General features: G+C 48.7%; 1 protein-coding gene across 1 annotated transcript in view, besides 2 other annotated features; it reads right to left on the reverse strand.

Annotated features, from left to right (window-relative positions):
* Positions 1–5513: 5513 nt before the first annotated feature.
* The window catches only part of JPH2 (junctophilin 2), an 80599-nt gene continuing 59422 nt past the window's right edge, over positions 5514–26690 (reverse strand). The window contains exons 3-6 of the mRNA NM_020433.5: positions 17429–17547; positions 14589–15310; positions 13706–13800; positions 5514–12427 (exon numbers count right to left, since the gene is read on the reverse strand). Of these exons, the coding sequence (NP_065166.2) occupies positions 13720–13800; positions 14589–15310; positions 17429–17547 (922 nt within the window). The 3' untranslated portion in view covers positions 5514–12427; positions 13706–13719. The remainder of the gene's footprint in view (positions 12428–13705; positions 13801–14588; positions 15311–17428; positions 17548–26690) is intronic.
* Positions 10212–10725: an enhancer, noted in NCBI's record as "H3K4me1 hESC enhancer chr20:42739928-42740441 (GRCh37/hg19 assembly coordinates)". NCBI's record gives its function as "activates a minimal SCP1, AML or CMV promoter by ChIP-STARR-seq in primed H9 embryonic stem cells {active_cell/tissue: H9 hESC(primed)}" and the evidence as "EXISTENCE:reporter gene assay evidence [ECO:0000049][PMID:30033119]".
* Positions 15573–15867: an enhancer, noted in NCBI's record as "tiled region #3924; K562 Activating DNase unmatched - State 12:CtcfO". NCBI's record gives its function as "activates a minimal TATA promoter and a strong SV40 promoter by Sharpr-MPRA in K562 cells {active_cell/tissue: K562}" and the evidence as "EXISTENCE:reporter gene assay evidence [ECO:0000049][PMID:27701403]".

Below are 26690 nucleotides of genomic sequence, written 5' to 3' on the forward strand. Positions count from 1 at the left end.
TGAAGACTGAATCTTAGGAGAAAATCTGACAAGACTTCAGAGGGAAAGAAAAGAAGAGTTTACTCACAAAACTAAAAGAATAAGTAATGGGGAAAGGACTCCCTATTGAATAAATGGTGCTGGAATAACTGACTAATCGTATGCAAAAGATTGAAACTGGACCCCTTTCTTACACTGTATACAAAAATCAACTCAAGATGGATTAAAGACTTAAATGTAAAACCTAAAACTATAAAAACCCAGGAAGATAACCTGGGAAATATCATTCTGTACATAGCTTCTCGCAAAGATTTCATGTTGAAGACTCCAAAAACAATTGCAACAAAAACAGAAATTGACAAATGGGACCTAATCAAACTAAAGAGCTCTGTACAGCAAAAAGATATTGTCAACAGAGTAAATGGAAAACCTACAGAATGGGAGAAAATATCTGCAAACTATACCTCCAACAAAAGTCTAATATCCAGAAACTATACGGAACTTAAACAAATTAACAAGCAAAAAACAACCCCGTTAAAAAGTGGGCAAAAGATATGAACATTTTTCAAAAGAAGACATACACATGGCCAGCAAGCATATGAAAAAATGCTCACCATTACTAATCACTAGAGAAATGTAAATCAAAACCACAATGAGATACCATTTCACACCAATCAGAATGGTTATTATTAAAAAGTCAAAAAATAACAGATGCTGGAGAGGTTGCAGAGAAAAGAGAATACTTATACACTGCTGGTGGGAATGTAAATTAGTTCAGCCATTGTGGAAAGCAGTTTGGCGACTTGTCAAAGAACTTAAAACAGAAGTACTATTCAACCCAGCAATCCTATTATTGGATACATACCCAAAGGCATATATATAAATCATTCTACCATAAAGACACATGCACATATATGTTCATTGCAGCACTATCCACAATAGCAAAGACATGGAATCAACTTAAATGCCCATCAGTGGTAGACTGGATAAAGAAAATGTGATACCTATATGCCATGGAATACTACACAGCCAAAAAAAAGAACAAGATTATGTTCTTTGCAGCAACATGGATGGAGCTGGAGGCCATTAATCTAAGTAGACTTAACACAGGAACAGAAAACCAAATACCATGTGTTCTTACTTATCAGTAAGAGCCAAATATTGAATACACATGAACACAAAGGAGGGGGCAAGAGTTGCTGGGGCCTACCTGAGGGTGGAAGTTGGGAGGAGGGTAAGGATAAAAAAATTACATATCAGGTCCTATGCTTATTACCCGGGGGATGAAACGACCTCTACACCAAACCCCCATGACATGCAATTTACCTATATAACAAATCTACATGTGTACCTCTGAACCTAAAATAAAAGTGTAAAGAAAGAAATTGTATACCTTTAAAGCTTATTCACAATTATGACTCTCAATATATTAGCAATATATTAAACATATTTGTTTTTCAATAATACATATGTAGAAATTAATAATATCTATTTTCACATTCAATATTGTGCATTCCTTGCACTGCTTGCCCCTGATTTTGGAGATTAATGCTGCAGAAAATATAGAGCCAAAAAAGGCATAGGTAAGCAACAGAGCTGCATGATCGCATCTGTATTCTAGAAGTCCACTAGAAGAGTGGAGGAGGACAAATTCCTAGAAAGACACAAACTACCAAAACTGACTCAAGAAGAAATAGATAACCTAAGTAGACCTATAAAAAGTAAAGAGGTTGAATTACTAATGTTTAAACTTCCCATAAAGATTCAATCTTTGTAGGTCACATGCTTCTAGGAAGTCATCCATTTCTTCTAGGTTACATAACTTCCAGGCTACATAACAAAGGAAATAATTATCAGACTGAAGAAACAATCCATGAATTGAGAGAAAATATTTGCAAACTATAAATCTGAAAAGGGGCTGATATCCAAAGTATATAAGGAATTCAAAAACTCAACTGCAGGAAAACAAATAACCCAATTAAAAATGAGCAAAGGTTCTGAACAGGCATTTCACTAAAGATTAGATACAATTGCCCAACAGATACATGACAAAATACTCAACATCTCTAATCATTAGGAAAATGCACATTAAAACCATAATGAGATTTCACCTCACACCTGTTGGAATGGCTATTACCAAACAGATGAGTGACAAGTGTTGGTGAAGATGTGAAGAGATGGGAACCCTTGTGTACTCTTGGTGGGAATGTAAATAAGTACAGCCTTTTGGAAAACACCTTGAAGATTCCTCAAAAAACTGAAAGAACACCTTTGTCCTCTAACAAAGGTGTCATTGTGAGGTCCATCCTCTGTAGTCAAGGCTCTCTGGGTCTGTGAATTTATTTAGGTCTGGGAACTAGGTATGAAGCCGTGGCTTTCTTTTGCAGTGACTCAAGTTAGACTTTTGCCTATCAAACCTACAGTTTGTCCAGTAATACTTTAGCAGATGGTCCAGCTATTTCATCTCCCCAAGGATACCAGGATTGATTAGCTCCTGGTAAAAATCCCTGCATGTCAAACCTTCTGATTGCTATTGGTTCACGTTGCCCATACAGAACTTGCACTCACCTTGTCTGTGAAAGTTAAGTACTGCCACTTACCTTCTACCACCTTGAGATCTTTTCACTCTTATTGAAATCAGGAAAAAATAGTTTTTACAACATAGTGGTGCCAATTATGAGCCATTAATGAGCTGTGTAACAACCTGGGAATCCAGGTGCTATGGTTTGAATGCTGCTGTCCCCCTCAAACTCATATGTTGAAGCCTCATTGCCAATGTGACAATATTAGGAGGTGGGGCTTTTGGGAGTGCTTAGGTCATGAGGGTTTCACCCTCATTAATGGGATTAGTGCCCTTATGAAAGGGGCCACAGAGAGCTGCCTTGCCCCTTCCACCATGTGAGGACACAGAGCGAAGGTGCCATCTGAGAGCCAGAAAGCAGTCCCTCCCCAGATATCACATCTGTTGGTGCCTTGATCTTGGACTTCTCAGACTCCCAAACCATGAGAAATAAATTGTTGTTTATAAGGTACCCAGGCTGTGGTATTGTGTTACAGAAGCCCAAAAGGACTAAGACAACAAAAATGAACAAAATAGGCACATCCCTAAGTGCACGGAGTTTACAGCCTACTGGCAAAGGCAGATAAACAATAACCACACTAATAATTGTATTTAACGGGTCTGAGACAGAGAGCTGTGTGCCAGGAATCATCCTGGAAGGATAGGTAGGGGTAAAATCAGAGTCCTCTCCATTCCCTCTCTTCCAAACTCACAATGCTTTTGTGTATTTTCACAGCCTCCTGCACATCCCTCTGTCCTGGCATGTTTAATGCCAGGCCATCAGGTAAGACATTCCAGGTCTTCTTTCCTGGAGTATAAGGACTATGCCTCTTGTATCTCTTTAATCCAAGTGCCCATGAAAGGTTCTGTAAGTCATTGACTTCCTTAAATATTTTAAAAAATAAATGGAGGAACAAAGAGGGAGAAGTTAAACCACCAACTGGGGAATGTCCAGGTGTTCATGTCTAAGAAAAGAGTAATCACTAGCTTTTCTCACTGTCTCTACCTGGATATAGGGACCCAATCCAAGTAGATACTAAGAAAGATAATTCTACTGGCTGATATTAGATAGGATTGGGGGGAAGAAAAGATGAGGAAAGAAGAGAACATGGGGAAAAAACTGAACTTGTGAAATGAAATAATGAGTGGAGTTGGAGGGAGGGTCCTTGGTGAGTATCAGTGCAGCCCAAAAGGATCAGGTAGTCTGAAGGGATAATGTCATCATGGCTGGAGACTGGACACTCATAGGAACCCCCTCCTCTGACTGTATTTTTCTCTGTGACTTCTCCTGCGGTGGTAGATTGGGATTTTATTCCCAATTCTTCACTCCGTATAAAAGAATAATACGGCCAGGTGTGGTGACTCATGCCTGTAATCGCAGCACTTTGGGAGACTGAGGTGGGAGAACAGTTTGAGCCCAGGAATTTGAGGCTGCAAAGAGCTATGATGTAACACTGCACTCCAGCTTGGGCAACAGAGTAAGACCCTGTCTCAAAGAAAAGAAATCATATGTCCACTTTTTTGTGGTAAGTACCTGCCTCTAGATTTGGAAGAGTTTACTTCCCCCACACCACTGTTGTTGGGCTCAGGCATGGGACTTGATTTGGCCAATAGGATCTAAGCAGACATGATAGGAGCAGAGGCTTTCATTCCTGCACTTCTGCCATCCACCGTAAGATAAACATGCTCCGTTGGCACTGGTCCCAACATGAGAAACAACTGGAGGAAACCTGAACCTTTCCCTTAGCCTGAAGCAGAGCCAACACAGTCAACCCACAGATCTATGAGCAAGAAAAAAAATGGTTGTTATCGTGAGGGTTGCTTGTCATGCAGTATTATCACAGCAATATTGCACTACTACACTTGCTTTCTTTTTTGAGAATTTCATTCCACTCTCCCTTTTCTGCTTAACTTTCATGTATCTCAAATGATGTTATAATTTCTTTTTATATTTCTGATGAGGCTCAGGGATCTCCTTTTCCCCTCATCCACATACCTAAAAACCACCTTGTGCACATAACCAATCCCACCCATTTGTAATGGGCTCTGTACAAAGGCCACATTAATTGCACCCCCCTCATCCACCACTCCCCCATTCCCACACACATACCCATGCTCTGCCAGGAAACCTCCTGTGTAGAGAAGCATCTGGGGTATGGGAAGAGCTTTGGTGTGTCAGAAAGATCTCAACAAAAGCATGAAGTTTAAGAGACATTGTGTAACCTGCCCTGGATCATACATTTTAACAGTTAGAATGTGTTTGGCCCCAAGTAACAAAAAACCTGATGAAGAGGGGCTTAAATCTTGAGAACAGTTATTGTTTACTTAACAAGAAGTCTGGTTGTAGATGGTTCAAGAGTTGATTCAGTAGCTTCAGAATCAACTGGGTTGGCATCTTGGCAATTCTCTTGACCTTCCTTTCATGGTTGTGAAATGGCTGCCACAGCTCCAAGCATCAGCACCCACGACCCCCAACCTGCATCCAAAAGCAAGAATAAGGGGGAAAGCCAAGGTAGCAAGAGAGACTTTGTTTGCTTTCATCTCTTCTTTTATCATAGAAGAAAGTCTTTCTCAGGAAACCCCAAGTGAGCTTTCCCTTATGTTTCGTGGACAATTACGTCTCCTGGATCACAAGGCTACTCCTAGATGCAAAGGAAGCTAGGAAATGAGTTTTGATCATGAGTTTTGCTCACGCCTCTGTAGTGGAGGCAGAGATAGGAGCAGGGTTAGGAATGGCTGTTGGGTATGTGGTAGAGAAAGAGAAGCATCATGCATTTATCCCTTCAAGAAGGACTTGCTTCTCTGCAGTGGGAAGTGTGGTCAGCAGACAACTTCCAGTTGTCAGTTCCTTCAGGGTCTGCCCCAGCTTCAGAGAGCTGTCTCACCCAAGGTCATGCCCTTCCCAGAGCAGCCCATACCCAGTTTATTAGTTCGTTTTCATGCTGCTGATAAAGACATACCTGAGACTGGGCAATTTATAAAAGAAAGGTTTAATGGGACTCACAGTTCCAAGTGGCTAGGGAAGCCTCACAATCATGGTGGAAGACAAGGAGGAGCAAGTCACATCTTACTAGATGGCAGCAGGCAAAGAGAGGAACTTGTGCAGAGTAACTCCTCTTTTTAAAATCATCGATCTCATGAGACTTATTCACTACCACGAGAACGGCACGGGAAAGGCTTGCCCCCATGATTCAATTACCTCCCACTGGGTCCCTCCCACAACGTGTGGGTGGGAATTTAAGATGAGATTTGGGTGAGAACACAGCCAAACCATATCACCCAGTAACAGAGCAAGGGAGGGGTATAAAAGCCCAATGGGAGATGCTCTACAAGCAATCCTTGCTCTGGAGCTCCCACTGGGTTGGACTTTGTCAGGCCTGCATCAAGTTAGACTTCTTCCTCTGCCCTGTTCTGCATTTTCCTCCTTCCTTTCACAGGTTTTGATCCCTAATAAACATCTTGCAGCTTAGGTGACTCTCAGTGTCTGCTCCTGCAGAATCCAATCAGTGATGGCATCTTCCACATACAGCAAAGAAGTGATATAGCCAGGATTAGAAACTAGGTCTGTCCAATTCCAAAGCCCCAACCCATCCCCACTCCCCAACCATACTGCCTCTTATGGCCACCATATCCATTTCCTCAATAAGCACTCACTGAATGTCTACTCTGCCCCGAGACCTAAGTGGGACAATGGGGATGGTACTACAGGCTGTACTGTCTTGTCTGTTTACCAAAACCCACATCCTTCTCTTCTCCCTGAGGACACATGTAGTCCGTATTTCCCAGCCTCCCTTGAAGCTAGTTGAGGCCAAACAACTGAGCTCTGGCTAGTGGAATATGAGCAGAAGTGATGTGTGCTGTTTTCCTGGTGAAAGTTTTTAGGAAGCAAATTCCATCCTCCATACTCTCTTTCCTTTTCCTTTGGCAGATGCAGAGACCAAAAAAGCCCTAGGATATGTAGAACCACAGATGGAAAAAACCTGGGTCCCTGAATCATTATGATGAGGGACAGCTATTCTATGACAAACTTATATGGTGTATAGCAATTATAAACTGTGGAGTCAATTACCTCAGCCAAGCTTACACTAACTAATGCATGGATATAGAGATGAATCACAGATAGCCCCTCTCTTAAGGAACTCAGTCTAGTGGAGAAGCTGTGGATAGGAAGAGATACAGGGTTGTGTAGTTAGCAACTGGGCCTTGAGGGAGAGGTCTGATTTTTGTCCTGGCTCCTAGGAAGTAATTTCTAAACCCTTAGGATATCCTGATTAACAGGAGTGTCTTTGTTATTCATGGTGGGCTCCTGGGACCACAACTCACAGCTTATGCTAACCAGATGGCTTATAGTGAGTGCTGGCCATGCCAGAAAAATCAACCACAGGGTTAAAAGATTGGGGCTTTGGGCTATGTGATGTCAGCCTGACCTTTGGGTGTGGGGAGGGGTATGGAGGTTAAGTTCAACCATGTGGGAAATGATTCAATCAATCACCTCTACATAATGAAGTCCCAATAAAAACTCTGGACACTGAAGCACTGGTTAGCTTCCCTGGTTGGCCATACTTTGTCATACTGTTACTTATCAATGCTGGCAAGGTAACAGATACCGAGGACACGGGTGTTTAGCATTTGGAACCCTCCCAGATTCCTTCCTATGTCCCTTTCCCTTGGCTGGTTCTGATTCGCATTCTTTGCTTGTAATCAATGTGACTTGAGTAGAATAGCTTTCAGTGAGTTCTGTGAGTCTTTCTAGTGAATTATTGAGTATGAGGATAATCATAGGAACCCCCTTGTTTGTAGCCAGTCAGTATGAACTGATGGTGGCCCTGGAGATCCCCAAACTTGTATCTGGGGTCTGAAGGGAGAGGGGGAGATTGTTCCCTCAGACTTTGCTGACTTTACAGCCTCAAGATTGCTGACTTTACAGCCTCAAGATGTAAATAGCTTTAAAAGGTCACTAAGAAGTGACTGTATACCATTGCACTCCAGCCTGGGTGACAGAATGAGACTCTGTCTCAAAAAAAAAAAAAAAGAAAAGAGGAAGAAGAAGTGACTGTAATGTAGGCACCTGGTCAAGACAGCCTGGAGTGAATGGTGAATGTTCTGACACATGAGGTGCCCTGGCATCTGTTGCCGTACATGAGGGTCTCACCTGCAGTTGGTCTGTGGACAAAATATGACTCCCCGCTCAGTCCAGGCTCTGTCACTGACTTGCTGTGTGATCCTTACAAATCACGACACTCTCTCCAGACCTGTTTCCCCATATGAAAAACAGGGGGCCAGATGAGCTGATATCTTAGAGTGCCTCCATCTCTGACAACCTAAGGAGTTATTTCCTCAAGCTTCTTCAGAGAAGAAGGAAACTTCCTTCCCTGAACTCCTTCAGGAATTCTGAATCATCACATCCACTAATATCCAATAGACAAATGTCCCCTGCCACATCCCTGTTGACTAGCATCTCCCCTCAGCTGGCTCATCTGCAGTGATGGGAAGCTCACTCTTTCATGGTGGGAGCAGTGTGGTTCTGTAAAAGAGCACAGCTCTGGGTTTCAGTCCCAGCTCTGTCCTTCCCTCTCTGTGATACCTTGAACCAATCACTCCATCTCCCCAAGGCTCAATTTTCCTCATCTGCAAAATGGGTGGACGAATACCTACACCATGGAGATACTGCGAAGAATGGAAAATAGCAGTGCATTTACCATCTGCTCACACCATGCTGGGAATTGTTCTAAGTGCTGTGTTCATATTTTCTATCTGAAGAGGCAGGTAACATGGTATTCATCACCCCCAGAAAAGTAAGAAAGTTCTAGATGTTAAGGGACAGAGCCAAGATTTGAACCAGCAACCATGTTCTGAACCACACAGCTGTTCTGCCACCACATACAGGAGGTGAAGGGCTTAGCACAGGGCCTGACCTACGGCCACCTGACTCCATTGAGTGTACCAGCAAGACAGGCTGAGAGAGTGAGGGAGTGGGAACTGGCCTCCATAGGCATAGTCAGAGTTTTGCACAAAACAAGAACCTAAGAGCTATTTTAATTTCAGCATACATGCAAGTTTTATGTTTTACAGTTTAGGTATTATTTGTATTCTGAGTCACTTATTTGGGGGAGAGCATCTTCATATCAGTTTTTCAGGCATGGCACCTCCAAAGGTCATCATCTGGGCCTGCATCTCTCCCAGAACAGCCAGGTCTTCTGTGGGTCCATCAGATTATGAAACTTCCCTTCTTGCCCGAATCCCAAATCTGACTCCCACGGTTCCTAGGTCCCCTCCCTTTCACTGCCCTGGAAGAGTCCTGCAGAGACCTCAAGGCAGTGGGCCAGCATTGCTTTTAAGTTCATGCATGGTACAAACCACCTTAAATGCATTCCGGGCATGGCAGGAGACCCATCAGACTTCCTAGAGCTGCCTGTGGTCAAGATTAGAAGAGGAGGCATCGGCCTGGCTGTGTCCTACCCTTGAGCCAACAGGGGGTGCTGTCTCCGACTAACCCTACCTGGCTCTGAGTCTCCAAACCTGGGGCTCAGGAAGCCGCCTCCTTTGCACACCATCCAAAGTGAGTTCAATACAGCCACCCCTGCCCCCAACTCATCCAACACACACACATACACACACACACACAGACACACCCCATCTGCAGACCGGCCAACTGGGCTGGCTGCCCACCTGCTTTCCCTCTGTGGGTTTTTATCAAAGGCTACAGATAACAATTCCCTCCCCATTTCCACTCCCACCTCCCCTCCTGTGCTTCCTCCAAGCCCATCCTTCCTGGAATCCCAGCATCATTCCAGAGTTTTGAAAACTTTTGTGTTTTTTTTTTTTTCCAGATGGAGTCTTGCTCTGTCACCCAGGCTGGAGTGCAGTGGCTTGATCTTGGCTCACTGCAACCTCCGCCTCCAGGGTTCAAGTGCTTCTCCTGCCTCAGTCTCCCAACTAGCTGGGTTTACAGGTACGCGCCACCACACTTGGCTAATTTTTGTATTTTCTTTTTTAGTAGAGATGGGGTTTTGCCATGTTGGCCAGGCTGGTCTCAAACTCCTGACCTCAAGTGATCCACCTGCCTCAGCCTCCTCTAACGTGCTGGAATTATAGGTGTGAGCCACCATGCCCAGCTTAAAACCTCTTTATCACCATAATCTATCTCATTTGAGCCTCACAACTGCATTGCCTATGAGGAAGACCATGGGGCAGGGATTAGAGTCTCCTCAGCAGAAGAGGAAACTGAGGCACAGAAAGAGGGAGTGAGGGAGCACATGGCCCATCAGTGATAGGGCTGGGTTGGGTAGGGGAGCCAGGCTCCTGAGGACAGGGTGTGCCTGAACTCGAGCCTACTGTTGGTTGAGGGACCTTCTTCTCCAACCCCCTCGCTGGGAACCACCGGCTGTGAGAGTAACTTCATGGGCAGTACTTATTCCTAAAAAGTCAAGAGAACTGCTTTCCTGCCACCAACTTGCTGTGTGCGTGACCTTGGGCAAGTCCCTCTGCTCTAAGCCTCTGTGGAATGTGGCGATCCCCTCAGGCTCCCCCACTGATTGAGATATTCTGACTAAACAACTGGTATCTGAATCACCTCCATCCCTTTGGGGTCCCTGGGATCCTCTACCAAAACGCAAGAGGGCTTGTAGCAGAGCTAACAGCACCATAGCGTGATAACAACACTCGTCTCCATTTCTCCACTGCTTTCTACAGCCTCAACATCTAATGTAATCCTCACTACCAGGAGGTAGGCTCTGTAATTATCCCCATTTTATAGATGAGAAAACTGAGGCTCAGAGAAGCGAAGAAAGTGGCTGGGCTAGCATTGGAGGCTGGGGGGACTCCACCTCAAAGGGCAGGCTCTTGATTCTATTGTCATCTACTCATAGAAGTTTCTGGAAGTTTGCTTTAGAAACTCCACTGTAGAAGCTCTATGGTCTTTCAGCCCCCACTCAAACTGAAGCCCTTCAGCTGCCCCTCAAGGATCGTGAGAACAAGGACACAGATGGGAAGGACCCACGTCCCCCAGCCTCTTCCCACCCACCCTCCTTGAGCCAGCCCCTCATCCTGGACCCACAAGCACATTGCAGCCCAGCCAGAGCCCGTGAGCAGATGCGGGTTTATTATTGCACAGACTGCAGCATCCTGAACCCCAAACCCAACCCCAAACACCAGCCCCCAAACTTGGCCTGGGAGCTTTGGCAGGCACAGGCTTGTCCCCAGCACCAGCCAAAAAAAAACAACAGAAAAAAAACAGGACAAGAATCTCCGAGACGGAGCCCGTCAGCACAGAGCAGTGGCCCCGCCCCATTCCCCTCATGCTCCAGGAGTCTTGAGAAGCTCAGATGCAGATGCAGAGCTGTGGGCCATGGCCAGCTGAGGATGGAAGAATCTGCAGGTTCTTCTCCATGAAAATACAGTCCTGGATTCCAGCCAAGCCACAAGGTCCCAGCAGGGCTTGAAACGGCAAGTGTGAAGCTAAGGGAGAAGGTTCCCAAGCATTGAAGGGAAATGGGAAAGCTGACCCTATCAGAAGCAAACTCCTAGGTCCCAGAGCTGCCTGGGGAGGCCCTGCCACAAAGCCAAAGCCTCCAAGGTCCACAGAAATGAAGGGAGGACAGCAGCAGTTCCCTCTGGCTCAGCTTGGATGCCACGTCCTTCCCCAGGCTTGGAGGGGCCTGGAAGCCCTTTCTCTCCATTCTCCTGGAGGCAGGAAACCATAGCCTTTGGCCCTCACCCCACCCACAGGAAGCACAAGGGCCCAGAGACCTAGTGTGGTACAAAACATCTTTAAGTGAGGTACATCCAAGTAGCCATCTTCTACCAAGTAAGCCAAAGGGGCTTATAACTGCACCCAGGCTGTACCCAGTTGGAGCCCCAGACTTGCCCCTCTCTTGCCGGGAAATGCTTCTTGACAAGCAGCTTGTCTTCAACACCTGCCTTAGTGTCTGCCCCAGGGACATCTCCCTGGGCTTCCATGGGCTTCTGTGCTCCCCTGAGCTTTCGGTGGGCCCTGATGGGGGAGGAGACAAGCCATTTCACAGGGCATCACAGGAGATTTCTCGCCGGCCCCAGGCCTCCTGCAGGTGACCCTCTAGCATCCCAAGCACACGGGAAACCCCAAATGCAATCCCAGTCTCAGACACACTCCAAAACAGGCCATCATCACTGCACCTTAACCCCTCTTCCCACCCTGCCCCCTGGCCACCTGGTCAGTGGCTTCCCAGCCAGAGGATCCATGGGGTCTCCCCTCGTCTATTGGTCCAGAAGGGAAGCTAACTGGACTGGTGGGAGGAGACAGAGCACTGTGTTCTGGGATATTCAAACTGACCTTGTCCATTTCCTCTACTGTCATCCAGAACATCTACAGGCAAGGGAGGGAGTGCAGGGTGCAGACTGCACAAGGACAGGTCTCTGTGCTGGTCTGAGGGGGTCTCAACACCCACCCCACCCAGCTTCCCTGGGAGGCCTCAGCCCACAGCCAAAGGATTAAATCAAAGTGGGGCAGGGTGGGAGGAAGGGGGATGGGATTGAATATCAATGTCCTGGTTAGGTGACATCTCCCAAAACACACAAAAGCCCAGGGAGGGGACAACCTAGGGAAAGGCAAGGGAGTGGAGGAGAGCGGGGGACAGGAGCAGATCAGGAAGCTCAAGAGACCAGGGCGCTTCTCTCTGGGCTCTCCTTGCCCCTGGGTAGAGAGCTCCTGAAGGAGCCCAGGACATTCCATTCCTCTTGGCACCACCACCGCCACCCAGCACAGGCACCGTGGGAGGCCTCCTGAAACTCTTGTGGGGTGAATGTGAACTGGACCACGGGGCTCCAGGTCCAGAGTCCAGTCCTCTTTGGCCACCCTGCCTGGCACTGCAAAAAGACGGGTCCTCATGTCCTCAGCAGGAACTTCTGGCTCTGCAAAGAGACAGCAAAAGGGTCAGGCAAGGGAGGGAGGGCAGAGGCTGGGCCGCCAAGCCAGGTGCAGGGCTCAAGCCTTGGGGCTCATCTTCTCTGGGGCAAGATCCCACCTCTGCATCCCCCCAGACAGCCCTGTCCCTTGATTCTGATACTCGGCAGGTCACAAACGGGTCCCCGAGGCCTCTCCTGGCCCTGGCTGCCTGCCTGTTTATTTACACATGCTGTTCCCTTTGCTGCTGCACTCATCTCTTCCCTCTTCCTCCCCCACTGTCATCTGGTTCACTCCTTTTCACCCTTCAGGTCATTAAAGGAATCAGTGCCTGCAGGAAGCATTCCCAGAGCCCCTGTTGAAACATGGAACCTGCAGAGCTCAAGTGTTCACCCCTACGGCAGCACTTACCAGGCTGGTATTGTCATTGACTGTTTACATGGTGACAGCATAGACTTTCCTGGGGCTGATTAAGAACCTCCAGCCCAAACTAAGCTAGGATCAAAAAAGGGGGCCTGAGGAAAAGGCAGAAACCCTGTTATTATTGCCAAGCATGGGATTGAGGCTGTGAAGGCTAGTTCCAGCAGGGGGAAGATTTTGTCTTGTAGATGCTTCACCTTGAGAGCAGTGAGGGCCACTCTCCTTCAGCCCAGCCCAGCCCACTCCACTTCACGGGAACTTACCCCAGCCCCCAGCTCCATCATGGGGAAAAAACTGAGAGGGAACCAATGGGCAGAGGAACAGGAGCAGGCTGGGTGTGCCAAGGGATTAAAGACTGAAGTGGGGAAGAGAGAAAGGGAGCACGGAGATGAGTGTCCCACCGTCCCAGGTGAGCTCAGTCTAGACCTGTTGTGCTCAGTGTTTGAACGGTAAGACTTTTCTGTAATGAGCTCTAAGTTCAGGGTTACTTTCATTATGTTCACCCCATTCTTGGAGCAGGAGTGAGTCCCTGCTGTATCCCCATCTCCCAGCAGAGCAGTACATGTTGGCCAAATGAATGAGTGAATGAAGCCCTCAGTGCTCACCTGACAGAGAGCAGGTGCTCTGCAAACACTAAGCTAATGAAGTAAGTGTGTGTGTGTGTGTGTGTGTGTGTGTGTGTGTGTGTGTGTGTGCGCTGGTATCAAATCACACTCTAGGTCTTGGCTTCTGCAGGTGGGTGGGCCTCAATTAGTCACAGGACTGTCATCCAAGTACCGAGTAGGTCCCTCCTCCCACCACCCTGGTGCTCAAAACTCCCCAGGGGCTCCTGCCCCCCAACCCCTCCTCCAGCCAGCTGGCTGCACCTGGTAAGCGACGGTCAGGTCAGGAGGTGAACAAAGAGGATGGCCAGGCCGATGTTCAGCAGGATCACCATGCAGATGAGGATGGTGTTGGGGACCTGGGAGCAGTGGAGAGAGGCTTCCTGAGTCCCCATGGCCTCGGAGACACCCCCCACCCAGGTCACAGCAAGGCTGGACAGAGCAGGAACTTCTGGATGGACCTTCCTAAGAGCATTGCCGGCTTTGTTCACTGCTGTATCCTGTCACCTGGATGGCAGACCATCACAGCTGGAAGGACTCTTAGAAATAACCAAATCCCTCAGGACCCAGGGAGGGACAAGATCATGCCCCAAGTCATATAGTGTGTGAATCAGGCCTGGAACCCAGGCATCCTGCTAATTCCCCTTGGGACGCATTCTTCAGTCCCCCAAAGCCCAGCTTCAGTCTTTGTTGCCGCCGTTCCTAGCTCCCTGCCTCCCATAAGTCAGGAGGTCTATAACCCAAATCCTGTTGGGCCCTTCTTCCACCTCCATGAAGCCCTCACTGCTACACCTTGTAGCAGATGCTGCTGGTGCCCAGCCCAACCCCCCTGACTGGGCAAATGGACCCACCCTCCAGCTGCTCAGGCTCCCAGCTGCCCCTGCTCATGAGAACTGTCTCTGCCAATGGGATACCAGGTGCAAAGGTAGGAGGACTCCATGCGGCCATTTACGCTCCAACGTCCTCTGTGGACCAAGCCAAGGCTATGCTCCCCTAATCCCCAGCCCTGCAGCATTTCCTCCTGCTCTATCCTGCTTCGGTCTCTCGCACCCCAGCAACCCCCAAATCCCCTGCCCCTGAATCCTCCCTCAAGCCCTGCTACCTCTAGGGAACCCGACCTTAGGCACACCTTGCCCGACAGCCTCACCTCTTCCACCTCCACCTCCGCCTCTGCCGCCAGTGCGGCCTCCTTCCGCGCCTTCTTCTTGGCCCCCGCCTTGGTCAGCCCTCGAGCCTCAGTCTTGCGGGCCTTGGCCCTGGGCTCGGCTTTGGGGATGATGGGCTTGGGCTCCAGCTTGGCGGGGGTCTCGCGTGCAGGCTCGGGGCCTCGGAGCGTGGGGGCCTGCAGCGGGGCGGTGGCCGGGGACGAGGGCGCGGACTCGGACCCGGAGACCTCGGGCTCGGGCTGGTCCTCAAAGGGTGGGGGCTCGGGCGGCGTGGTGCGCACAGCATAGCTGTGGTAGCCCTGGTAAAGCGCCACCTCCGGCTCCCGCGACGGCGCAGGCGGTGCCTGCAGAGCCTCGATGGCCATGCGCTCGGTGGCTGGACGCGCGGGGCTGCGGCGGCCCGCGCCCTCGGACGGAGTGACTGACCGGCTGCCCTCACCGCTGGGCTCGCCGTTCCAGGCGCCTGGGCTCAGCAGGCCGTCCTTGGACACCCCGGGCCTGGGCCGCTTGGGCTGCGGGGGCGTCCCGGCCGGTGACGGGGAGCCACCCTCGGGCCGAGGGGTCTCACGCTCGTGCAGCTGCGGGCTCTCGCGGGGCGGCTGTGGGAGGCCCGCTGCGCCGGCGCCCCGGTCGGGGGGCTCCAGCAGGCTCTCCGAGTTCTCCAGGATCTCCTGCAGCAGCCGGCGCTTCTGATATTCCGGACCTGCCAGGGCAACACAGGGAGGCTGGGCTCGAACCCCGCACCACTGTTGGGTGATCCTGGGCCAGCCACTTCACCTCTCGAGCCTCATTCATGGGCTCAGTCGGCACTCACATAGCACTGACCAAGTGCCAGGCACTGTTCCAAGCACTTTCCAAATATTAACTCATCTAATCCCTGTAGTATCCCTATGAAGTTGATGCTACTGTGAACCTCAAAGGGAGGCTCTGAGAGGTTAAATCACTTGCCCAAAGACACACAGCTGTCGAAGGGCAGAGCCAGGACTAGCACCCAGCAGTCTGGCTCCAGAGGCGATGCCCTTTACTTTGGCACGCGTCTCTTTCCATTCCCTTATCTGAAACATGGGCCTGATCATACCTATTTTATAAATACGAATGGAAGGATTGAGAAAATGCATGTCAAAGGCGGAGCTCAGGGCCCCGCACCGGCATAGACCAGCAGGGGGAGCGCTGTGACCAGAAGTGAGGGATCCTCCCAGGCATAGGTTTTCGCTCCTAGGTTTTTCATCAGGCCTCCTTTGGCCTCCTTTCTGCAGCCAGGATCACGTTTAGAAAACACACATCTGATCATGTCATTAACTTAAAAACCCTTCATGGCTGGGCGCGGTGGCTCACGCCTGTAATCCCAGCACTTTGGGAGGCCGAGGCGCGCGGATCACAAGGTCAGGAGATCGAGACGATCCTGGCCAACATAGTGAAATGCTGTCTCTACTAAAAATACAAAAATTAGCTGGGCATGGTGGCGCGTGCCTGTAATCCCAGCTACTCAGGAGGCCGAGGCAGGAGAATTGCTTGAACCAGGGAGTCGGAAGTTGCAGTGAGCTGAGATCGCGCCACTGCACTCCAGCCTGGTGACAGAGCGAGACTCCGTCTCAAAAAAAACAAAAAAACAAAACCTTCATCGCAGAGAATCCCCATCTCTGTCCCTCAGGGGTTCCCACCACTCTATCCATGTGCCAGATCTCTACCAAGGCCGGGAGGTCCTCCTTACTCTGCAGCCTCGATTCTCAGGACCCACAGCCTACTTTGTGATGTGGCTTCCTGGCATGCTGCTCTGTCCGAGTTTCTGTGCCTTTGCACCTCCTCCACTCATCCCACCCAGCGCTATCTGGTACAGCAGCTCTCAAAGTGTGGTCTCAGACTAGCAGTATCCACATCGCCTGATCCTTAGAAATGCACATTCATTCATGGGCTCCACCTGAGACCTACTGAATCAGAAACTCTGGGGGTGGACCCAGCAATCTGTGTCAAATTTGAGACCCACTGACTTGATAGACTCTTGTTCAGCCTGCAAGATTCAGCTCAAATGGCCTCTCCTGAGGGCAGCCTTCTCTAACACTTCCTCTTGCCTAACTGCTTCCTGTGAGCTCCCTCCTCTCCCATTCTAACCGCACAGTGCTCATCCTGCTGTGTGAAATGGAACCATAATCATGAAACAACAGCCACAGTCACTGAGAGCTTACTGAGGACTGGGAATGTACCTTACATGCATTTAATCCATGCACAAAAAAGCAGGCACCATTCTTACTACCATTTTACAGATCAGGAAACTGAGGTTTACAGAGGTTAAACACCTCACTCAAAGTCTCACAGCTGGGAAGCAGCGGAATCAGGGTTTGAATGAATGCAGAGTCTGTTTATGGTACCCCTAGCTCTGTTGTTTTTGTGACTCTCTGCTCCCCTAGATTTTGGAACCCACTTATGTAACCCCAGAGCCTGGTACAGTGCCTGACACATGGACAGTGCTCAATGCTTGACTGAAACTGTTGGGCAAGTGCAAGAAGCCATTTTTCCCTCTCATCCACCAGTGACTTCTCTCCTCTAAGCTTCACCAGCTCCAACTGTCTTCCCTGCTCAGAGCAGAGAGAAAAGACCACTTGGAGTGACTCTGCTGCCCTCCCCTCGAGCTCAGCATGAAGGCAGAGATGTGTCTCCCCACCTACCCCTGCATCATCCCATCCCACATTTGCACCATGCCCCAGTTTCTGAGACTCACGGGCATCCAGGAAACCACTTGGGCATCTCAGATTCCAGTAAGCAAAGAAAAGCGCCCACCCTAGGGATAGCCCTACCCTGCCCATCCTTCCCTGGCTGGCCCTACCTGGCTGGTAGAAGTCCGGAGCCAGCTCCCTGGCCAAAGTGCGAGCAATGTTGGACTCCTGGTTGGCAGCCAGGGCGGCCTGTTCCGCTGCCTCAGCTTTGGCCTTGGCGTGGCTTGTCCTATGGAGACAATGTGGCAGAAGACTCAGGATCCTTCCAGAGAACCAGCCTTCTGCCCCTTCTCCCCAACCCACAAAGAGACATGCTAAACACAGCATTCTTTCACGCAGGCAGTCAATGAATATTTATTGAGCCTCATGGCCCAGACTGCTATGCATTCTCCAGATCATTTCTTCTTCTTTCTGAGCACTTAGATAGACTACCTTTCCCAACCTCCCTTGCAGTTAGGTGTGGTCAGGTGACTGAGTTCTGGCCAGTGCATTATGGGAAGACATCATGTATGCTATTTCCAGGCTTGGCCCATAAAAACTTCTGTGCCCTCTCTTTTTTCCCCAGCATTGCTGGTTGAATGCAGAGCAGGCTGAGTCCCCAGAATAGGGACTTAACTTCTGTGTCACAGATCCCTTTGGCAGTGTGGTGAAGCCTATGGATCCCTTCTCAGAATAATGTTTTTGAATGCATAATAATATACATAGGATTACAAAAGGATGCAGTTACTTGACATACTGTTTCCAAAATATTTAAAAGAACACATTTGTAAAATAATAATCTATATCTTTATAATCACATTAAACAAAATATCAGGTCTGTTAACTACTGTAATTTTAAAGTATAGATAAGCATAAAGGATATTTCAAGGATATCTAATTACAACATATAATATGACATGAAAATATATGAGATTTCTATTGGTGACAAAGTCACAGCTGCTACTACTACTATTATGGTTTATTGCCTATTTCCATAATTGAAGAGAAGGCTACATTTCAGTTGGAGTTAATAAAAATACAGATGTAGCTTTTCTCATTGTAGTGGGTACTTCTGGTGCCCTATGCAGATCCCTTCACTGGGCAAATGTGCCTACCCCCGGCTGATGTGAGTGTTGGCTGCTAATGGCTCCTTACTACCCCAGAGAATTGTAGCCCATAGAAGCCACCTTGTTCCAGAAGTTAAAATACTGCCCTGCCAGCCAGGCACGGTGGCTCACGCCTGTAATCCCAACACTTTGGGAGGCCAAGGCAGGCGGATCACGAGGTCAGGAGATGGAGACCATCCTGGCTAACATGGTGAAACCCCATCTCTACTAAAAAATACAAAAAATTAGCCGGGCATGGTGGCGGGCGCCTGTAGTCCCAGGTACTCGGGAGGCTAAGGCAGGAGAATGGCATGAACCCAGGAGGCGGAGCTTGCAGTGAGCCGAGATTGCGCCAGTGCATTCCAGCCTGGGCAACAGGGTGAGACTCCATCTCAAAAAAAAAAAAAAAAAAAAAATCCTGCCCTGCCTACCCCTAAACCTAGGCAGCCCATACCAATGACTGGTACTGGTCAGCCTCCTCTTGCCTCAAGAGGAAGGAACTCCAGCTGCAGCAGGTACAATCCATGCTCCAGAGCCCCCGGTGGACTGGCTGAAGCAGGTCTCCAGCTGAGACCACATCTCAGCTCATCTCCTTCCCTACGCCATCCTGCCTCTCATTCTTCTCTCTCCTGAAAGCCTCCCTCAGTAAATCACTTACACAAGAATCCCCACTTCAGGCTCTACTTCTAGGGAATCTAACCTACACCGTCCAAGTTCATGGACCCCTGAAATCTATCCACAGACCCTCCTGTGGACTCCAAGTTAAGAAATGTGAGCCCATAAATGATTGCATGGAGCAAAGCCCCTTCCCACAGCCCCACAGTTGCACGTGACAGGAGCAAATTTTAAATATTCATTGTCTTAAGTACCTGAGATTTGGGAGATGTCTGTTTCAGCTGTCAGCTTAGCTTAACTCACAGAAGTACCTACTAAAGTAATAACAGTCCAATTTCCTAATGGGCCAGGCATGGTTCTAAAGGAGTTATGAAGATTATCTCATATGCTCATTCTAATGCCTTAGGAAGCTGGTGCTGTTATTATTATCCCTATTTTACAGAAAAGAAAATTGAAGTGCAAACAGGTTAAGCAATTTGCCCAAGGTCACAGAGTCCTGAAGTGCAGGAACTGGGATTTTGAACCCAGGCAACGTAACTCTAGGGCAGTGGTGTCCAATCTTTTGGCTTCCATGGGCCAGAAGAAGAAGAATTGTCATGGACCACACAGAAAATACACTAACACTAACGATAGCTGATAAGCTTAAAAAAAACAAATCACAAAAAAAATCCCATAACATTTTAATAGAGTTTACGAATTCGTGTTGGGCCACATTCAAAGCTGTCCTGGGCTGCATGGGGCCCATGGGCAAGGGTTAGACAAGCTTGCTCTATACCAGTAGCTGAGCATGTGCCAGAGCCTGTGCCAGGAGCTGAGCATGGCCAGGAACTGAGGACAGAGACTCTGTGGACCAGAAAGGCTACTGTCAGATGAGGGAGCTGGCTAGTAAACAGACACAAAAACTATTTAATAAAATGCAATTAAATAAAAAGTACCTAATTATAATTGTGAAATATGCCGTGAAGGAGGAGTAGAGAATACAATGAAAATGCAGGACAGAAAGACTTAATGTTGATGGGTGGTGGAGGTGGGCTGGTCAGGAAAGGATTCCTTGAGGAAGTTGACATTTGAGTTGAGACTTGAAGAAACACATACGTTAGGCCCCTAAGAGGTGGGCGGGTCAATGAGCCAGGTAGACAGAAGGGCATGTGCAAAGACTCTGAGACTGAGGAAGAGCTTTGTGCCTTCGAGGAGCTGCAAAGCCAAGTCAGAGTGTCCACTCTCTACAGATGAGTTAATTCCCTGGGGAGCTGATGTGTGTGTGTCTTTATCTCAGTCTACAGCAGAGAACTGGGCGCACGGTAAGGGGGATAAATTCCCTTAAGCTTCTACTAGGCACCAGGGCTTTTATCCCTTACAAACCTCAAAACTGTGAGGTAGTGAGGTAGTGTTTACCGGTCCCTACTTCACAGGTGGGGAAACTGAGGTTCAGAAAGGTGTCTTGCTCAAGGAAACAAAATAGGAGTTAACATTTACAAAGCACTTAGTATATGCCAAGGGCTTTACAGAAATTAACTTAACCCCCCAATAACTCTACAGGGTAGATGTTATTCCTATCATCCCTCTCTACAGAGGAGACATCCAAGGCAAAGGAGTATTCTAAAGAACCCAAGCCAGCATGGTGGCTCGTGCTTGTAATCCCAGCACTTTGGGAGGCTGAGGCAGGAAGATCACTTGAGCTCAGGAGTTCAAGACCAGCCTAAGCAACATACCAAGACCTTGTCTCTACTAACAATTAAAAAAAAAAAATTAGCCAGGTGTGGTGGCGCACACCTGTAGTCCCAGCTACTCAGGAGGCTGAGGTCAGCGGGGGGATTGCTTGAGCCCAGGAGATCGAGGCTGCAGTGAGCTATTATCACACCATTGCACTCCAGCCTGGGCAACTGAGCAAGACTGCATCTCAGAAAGAAAAAAAGAATTCACCCAAGCTTACATAGCTAGTAAGTACCAGAGTAAGGATTCAAACCAAAGCATTCTGGGATCTAGAGTCTGTATCCTAACCACAGGCTCAATTTCCATTCAATAACAAGCAGCAGAGTAAGATTCTAAACCTGGAGCTGTCTGATGTCCAAGCCCCTGCCTCTCCACTATGCCATATTGCCATAGTAATGCTTACTGAATGAATACATGGCTGAAGGCACGCATGCAGGCGTGCACATATGTAGGGGCAAGGAGACAGCCTAGGGAAGAGTTAAGAGCACACAGTTTTAGAATTAACAGGCCTGGATTCCAATTTGGGCTCTGCCAAGGCCAGGGACAGAATGAGATGACCGAGGCACTCGCCTCAGGGGCAAAATTTATGGGGTTGCCAAAAAACTCAGTGATCAAGAGGAATCACATTTTAATGCAATATTTTAAAAGTCTAAATTAATGCAAAAATAAATCCTTGATGAACAACCTATGAAGAAAATTTTAAATAAAGCCTGGATTGGACCCTGCACTTGGATCCCTCACTTACTCACTCACCTCACCCCACTGGGAGTCTAGGACCTTGGGTGCATGCATGGCTTTACCTCTCTGTGCCTCAGTTTCTTCATCTGTAAAGTGGAGATAGTAATTCTCCCCTCCTGAAGTTGCCGTGAAAACTAAGTGAGAGGCAACGCGTGAAAGTGTTTGGTCTTGATGATGACGATGATGGGGTGTTGGTGGCGGTGGTGAAAGAGGAGGAGGAGAATGACATCTGTACATCAAAACTGAGTGTGCTACATGCATATCCCCAGGCTTATTTTTGCCTGCACGTGAGTATGTGTGAGACAAAGTTCTAAACTTTTTAGAGCCACTTCTCTGGGCACATGAAACCCCAGGAGGGAGGAGGAGGGAAAGGGCTGGGCAAGCCTTCAAACTGAGAAAATGCCCTTTTTTTGGTCATGTGAGCAGAAAGATGCCCACTTTCTGGTGCCTTTGGAAGCTGGGTTGAGGACTCCTCAGGCAGGAAAGGCAGCCTCTCCCCACAGCCCTGGAAGATTCTGGGGGACCCACTGTGCACAGCCAGAACAGGGGCGGCCACACAGCCCAGGGCAATGAGGGCTGCTGTGCTGGAAGCAAGCATACTCCCTGTCCATCTCCAACCACCCGGCCCGCTGCATCCTATCAGCCCTTCTCCCCTGTCCCATGCTCCCAATCTCTGATCCCAGCCTTCAGGCCAGGAATCCCGGTGTTCTTCAGCACCCTCCCTCCCCACCTCCTTCCACATCCACAGCCCATCAATCACCAACACTGGTCTCTCCGGCTCCCTTTATAACTCTTAGAACCCTCTGCCACTCCTCCTGCACCCCTTCCCATGGGTCTCCCCTGCCTGCAGGCTCACTCCTACAGCTGCTCCTACACACAGCGGCTCAGCGAGCTTGCTTAACCACACACCCGTGGCCTCACCCCTTGCTTCAAATCTTTGCAAGGCTTCCTACTGTGCTCAAAATAAAACCCTAGCTACTTAGTATGGCCTTCGAGGCTCTCCAGACCCTTGCCCAAGGCAGTCTGGATGGGGTATACCAGCAGCTCACGGGGTGAAGGGCAGGCGGAATGACTGTGGCTGGGAGGCTATTGCTTCTAGGCCAGTGCCTCTCCTAATGCAGTCCGTGACCCCCACCCAGTATCTTCATCACCCGGAAGCTCAGATATACAAATTCTCGGGCTCTGCCCAGACCGACTCATCGGAATTTGAAGGGAACGAGCCTAGGAATCTGTGTTTTATATTCCAGATTCTGACTTAAGTTTGAGAAGCACGTGTTCGGCGGAGAGAAAAGCCAGCTCCATCTTGAAGTTGTTCCCAGACTGCTCAACCCCCTAGGAGCCTTGGATGTTTTCCTTTTAGCACCAGGGTCCCTCCCTGAATCAAGGCCCTGCTGGGGAAATGCAGGAAGCATTCCTGCTCTGCTGACCACTCACCATCTCTGGATCCATGCCTCTGGGTGAGGGTCTGGAGGATGGCTCTGACCCTGCTTGGGGGAAGGGAGCAGTCACTGGGGCCGGGGGAGGAACAGGGAGACTCTTCTTGATTTCGTTCGGATTAACTTTCGTCAGCAGGGTTAAAAATAAGGCTGGTGTTTCTGGGATAGGAGCAGGGCTCTCACCCAATAGAGCAACTTCTAAAAGCACCTGCCCCCACCCTGGCCTCCTTTCCCCATCTCTCCTCCCAGGCCCATAACTGCTTGGTTGTTTCCCAGTTGTCTCCACTAGGCATTGGTGGCTTTATGGGGCCAAAGGGGGACCCTCACCGGACTTGCCCTGACTCTAGGCCTTTGCTTAGGCTGTTCCCCGACCTGGAAGGCTCTCTCCCCTCCTGCCGCGATCCTGGCCTTAAAGAGTCAGTTTAAGACCCACCTGTATGTATTGGTTCATTCATTTAATACAACTTTATGGAGTGCCTACTATGTGCTAGGCACTTTTCTGGGCACTGAAGACATAGAGGCAAACTGAACATCCAAAAATCCCTTGTATGGTCAGGCACAGTGGCTCACACCTGTAATCCCAGCACTTTGGAAGGCTGAGGCAGGAGGATCACTTGAGGCCAGGAGTTTGAGACCAGCCTGGGCAACACAGCAAGATCCCAACTCTATCTTAAAAAAAAAAGTAAAAAAGAAAGAAAGGAAACAAAAATCCCTTGCAGAGGTTACATTCCAGGGCACGGGTCAGCAGATGACAGTGGTAGGCTAAACCCAGCCTGCTGCCAGCTTTTGTACCACCCATGAATGGTTTTTATATATTTGAATGGTTAGAAAAAAAAAAAAGTAAGGCCAGGCATGGTGGCTCACGCATGTAATCCCAGCACTATGGGATGCTGAGGCGGGTGGATCACTTGAGACTAGGAGATCAAGACCAGCCTGGCCAACATGCCGAAACCCTGTCTCTACCAAAAAATACAAAAATCAGCTGGGCACGGTGGTGCGCACCTGTAGTCCCAGCTACTTAGAAGGCTGAGGCAGAGAATCACTTGAATCTGGGAGGCAGAGGTTGCAGTGAGCCAAGATTGCACCACTGTACTCCAACTCCAGCCTGGGTGACAGAGTGAGACTCTGGCTCAAAAAAAAAAAAAAAAAAGTAACATTTTGTGACACATGAAAATTATATGAAATCCAGATATCTGTGTCCCTGTAAACAAAATTTTGTTGAAACACAACTATGCTCATTCATATTGTCTAGAGTAGTTGTCATAGAGACCATATGACCTACAAACACCACAATATTTACCATCTAGTCCTTTACAAAAGTCTGCCGACCCCTGTACTAATGTATTCACTCAATGAATGTCTCCTCTACTATTATTATGAATAATATTAATCTTGGTTATTTGTTGAGCACTGTGTGACCAGCCTTACGCCATGGCCTCCTGTGTAAACACATATGGCCTCAGAGAGCTGGAGGCACGTTCTCAAGGTCACACACTAGAAAGTGAACCTGCCCAAGCTCTTACCCATGACACCAAGCTGCTGCCTTCCTGGTACCACTTCTGAGCCAGGTCCGTCATGTGCTGGGGCCAAGGATGGAAATGAATAGGACCCAGCAGCCGCCTGGGGAGCTCGCAGCCCAATGCAGCCCTGCCAGGTCAATCAGGCAACATTTCTGGAAGTCCATGGATGAGCAGGGGCTCAGAGCAAAGTCTATAAACCACATGGTGGAGTGGCAAAGAGGCGGTAACTCTGGCCAGATTGCCCGGGTGCAGACCCTGGCTCTGCTCCTCATCACCTTAAGCCCAGTCTCCTCATCTGTAAAATGGGAATAATAAGGGCACGCGTCTCCAAGGAATGATGTGAGGAGTAAATTAGTTACAGTCACGTGGCTCAGAACACAGGAAGTGCTACCTAAGGGCTTGTTACATAAAATGAGAAGTGCAGTTTTAGCCTGGGCAACACAGTGAGACCCCGTCTCTACAAAAAATAAAAATAAAAACATTAGCCAGGCATGGTGGCTAATGGACCCCGCTACTTGGAAGGCTGAGGTGGGAGGATTGCTTGAGCCCAGGAGGTCAAGGCTGCAGTGAGCTATGATTATGCCACTGCACTTCAGCCTGAGTGACAAAGCAAGACCCTATATCAGAAGAAAAAGAGAGAGGGAGGGAGGGAGGGAGGGAGGGAGGGAGGAAGGAAGGAAGGAAGGAAGGGAGGAAGGAAGGAAGAAGGGGGGGAGGGGGCACAGTGTTTTGAAGGGGACTGAAACAGAAATCCTGAATGTCCTAAATGCCACTGAATTGTTCACTTTAGTATAATAATAATTTTAAAAATCCTTCAGCCCAGGAATCCCATGGTAGGTTTGGATGATGGGGGCAGATAATCAGGGTCCCTGGCTCAGGCCACTGCCAGCCTCTCTGGAGGATGCTCAGGTGATTACAGGGAAAATGCTGCCCAGCGTCTTCCTGAGGTGGGGATGCTTCCGATGTCACTGCCCTACCCTCTCCCAAAATAGCCCCTCATCCCCAGCTCTGGCTGGTCATGACCATCTACCCCAGAACAACCATGGTCAGGCTAATCTAGAGGAAGGACCACAGCTGGGTGTCCAGTCACTGGCCCAGAGAACTCCCTAGGAGAAAGCCCCCTCCGCCCCCAAGGATGCAGGTGCAGTCAGGGAGCCCTGACCCATGGGACCTTCCTCTCCCCACCCAGGACTCCATTCATTCTCATTCGGCAAATGTGTGCTGAGCCCCTGCTATGTGGAGCCCAGAACTGGGTGCTAGAGACATGGACAGTGGTCAATGAGGCAGGCAGTGCCCTCCTGGGAAGCCCCTCACAAGACAGGTTAAGGGCACAAACTCAAGCCCAATTTGTAGCACCATCATCTAGATATCTGACCTTTGCTCTCTGGCCTCAGTTTCTTCAACTCTGAAATGGGGGATAATCTCACAAAATTACTGGGAGTCTGAAATGAGATAGCACAAATGTGCTTAGCATGAACTGAGCACGTAACAAATATTAGCTATCATTATTGTTTCTGTTACTATTATAACAATGCTGACCAGCATTCACTTCCAAAATTCTATCATTTGCCAACATATGGATGTGTCATCTAAACATCATTTCAGGGTTCACCCACATTGTAGCATGCATCAGTACTTCATTCCTTTTTATTGCTAACTAATATTCCATTGTGTGGATAAACCATATTTTGTTTACCTGTTCAATAGTTGATGGACATTAGGGTGCTTTCCACTTTTTGGTTACTATGAATAATGCTGCTATGGACATCTGTGTACAGGTTTTTGGGTGGACATGTTTTTATTCCTCTTGAGTATATACCTAGGAGCAGAATTGCTGGGTCCTGTGGTAACTCTATGTTTAACTTTTTGAGGATCTGCCAAACTGGTCTTGAGATGGCTGTACCATATTATCATATTATGTTCCATTGGTAATACACGAGAGTTCCAGTTTCTCCACATCCTCCCTAATACTTGATATCATCCTTCTTTTTTTTTTTTTTTGGAAACGGAGTCTCGCTCTGTCGCCCAGGCTGGAGTGCAGTGGCGCAATCTCAGCTCACTGCAACCTCTGCCTCCCGGGTACAAGTGATTCTCCTGCCTCAGCCTCCCGAGTACCTGGGATTACAGGCACCCGACACCATGCCTGGCTGATTTTTTTTTGTATTTTTTAGTAGAGACGGGGTTTCATCATGTTAGCCAGGATGGTCTCATCTCCTGACCTCGTGATCCACCCGCCTCAGCCTCCCAAAGTGCTGGGATTACAGG

This window comes from Homo sapiens, chromosome 20 (genome assembly GCF_000001405.40).
Source record: "Homo sapiens chromosome 20, GRCh38.p14 Primary Assembly".
NCBI classification, from domain to species: Eukaryota; Metazoa; Chordata; class Mammalia; order Primates; family Hominidae; genus Homo; species Homo sapiens.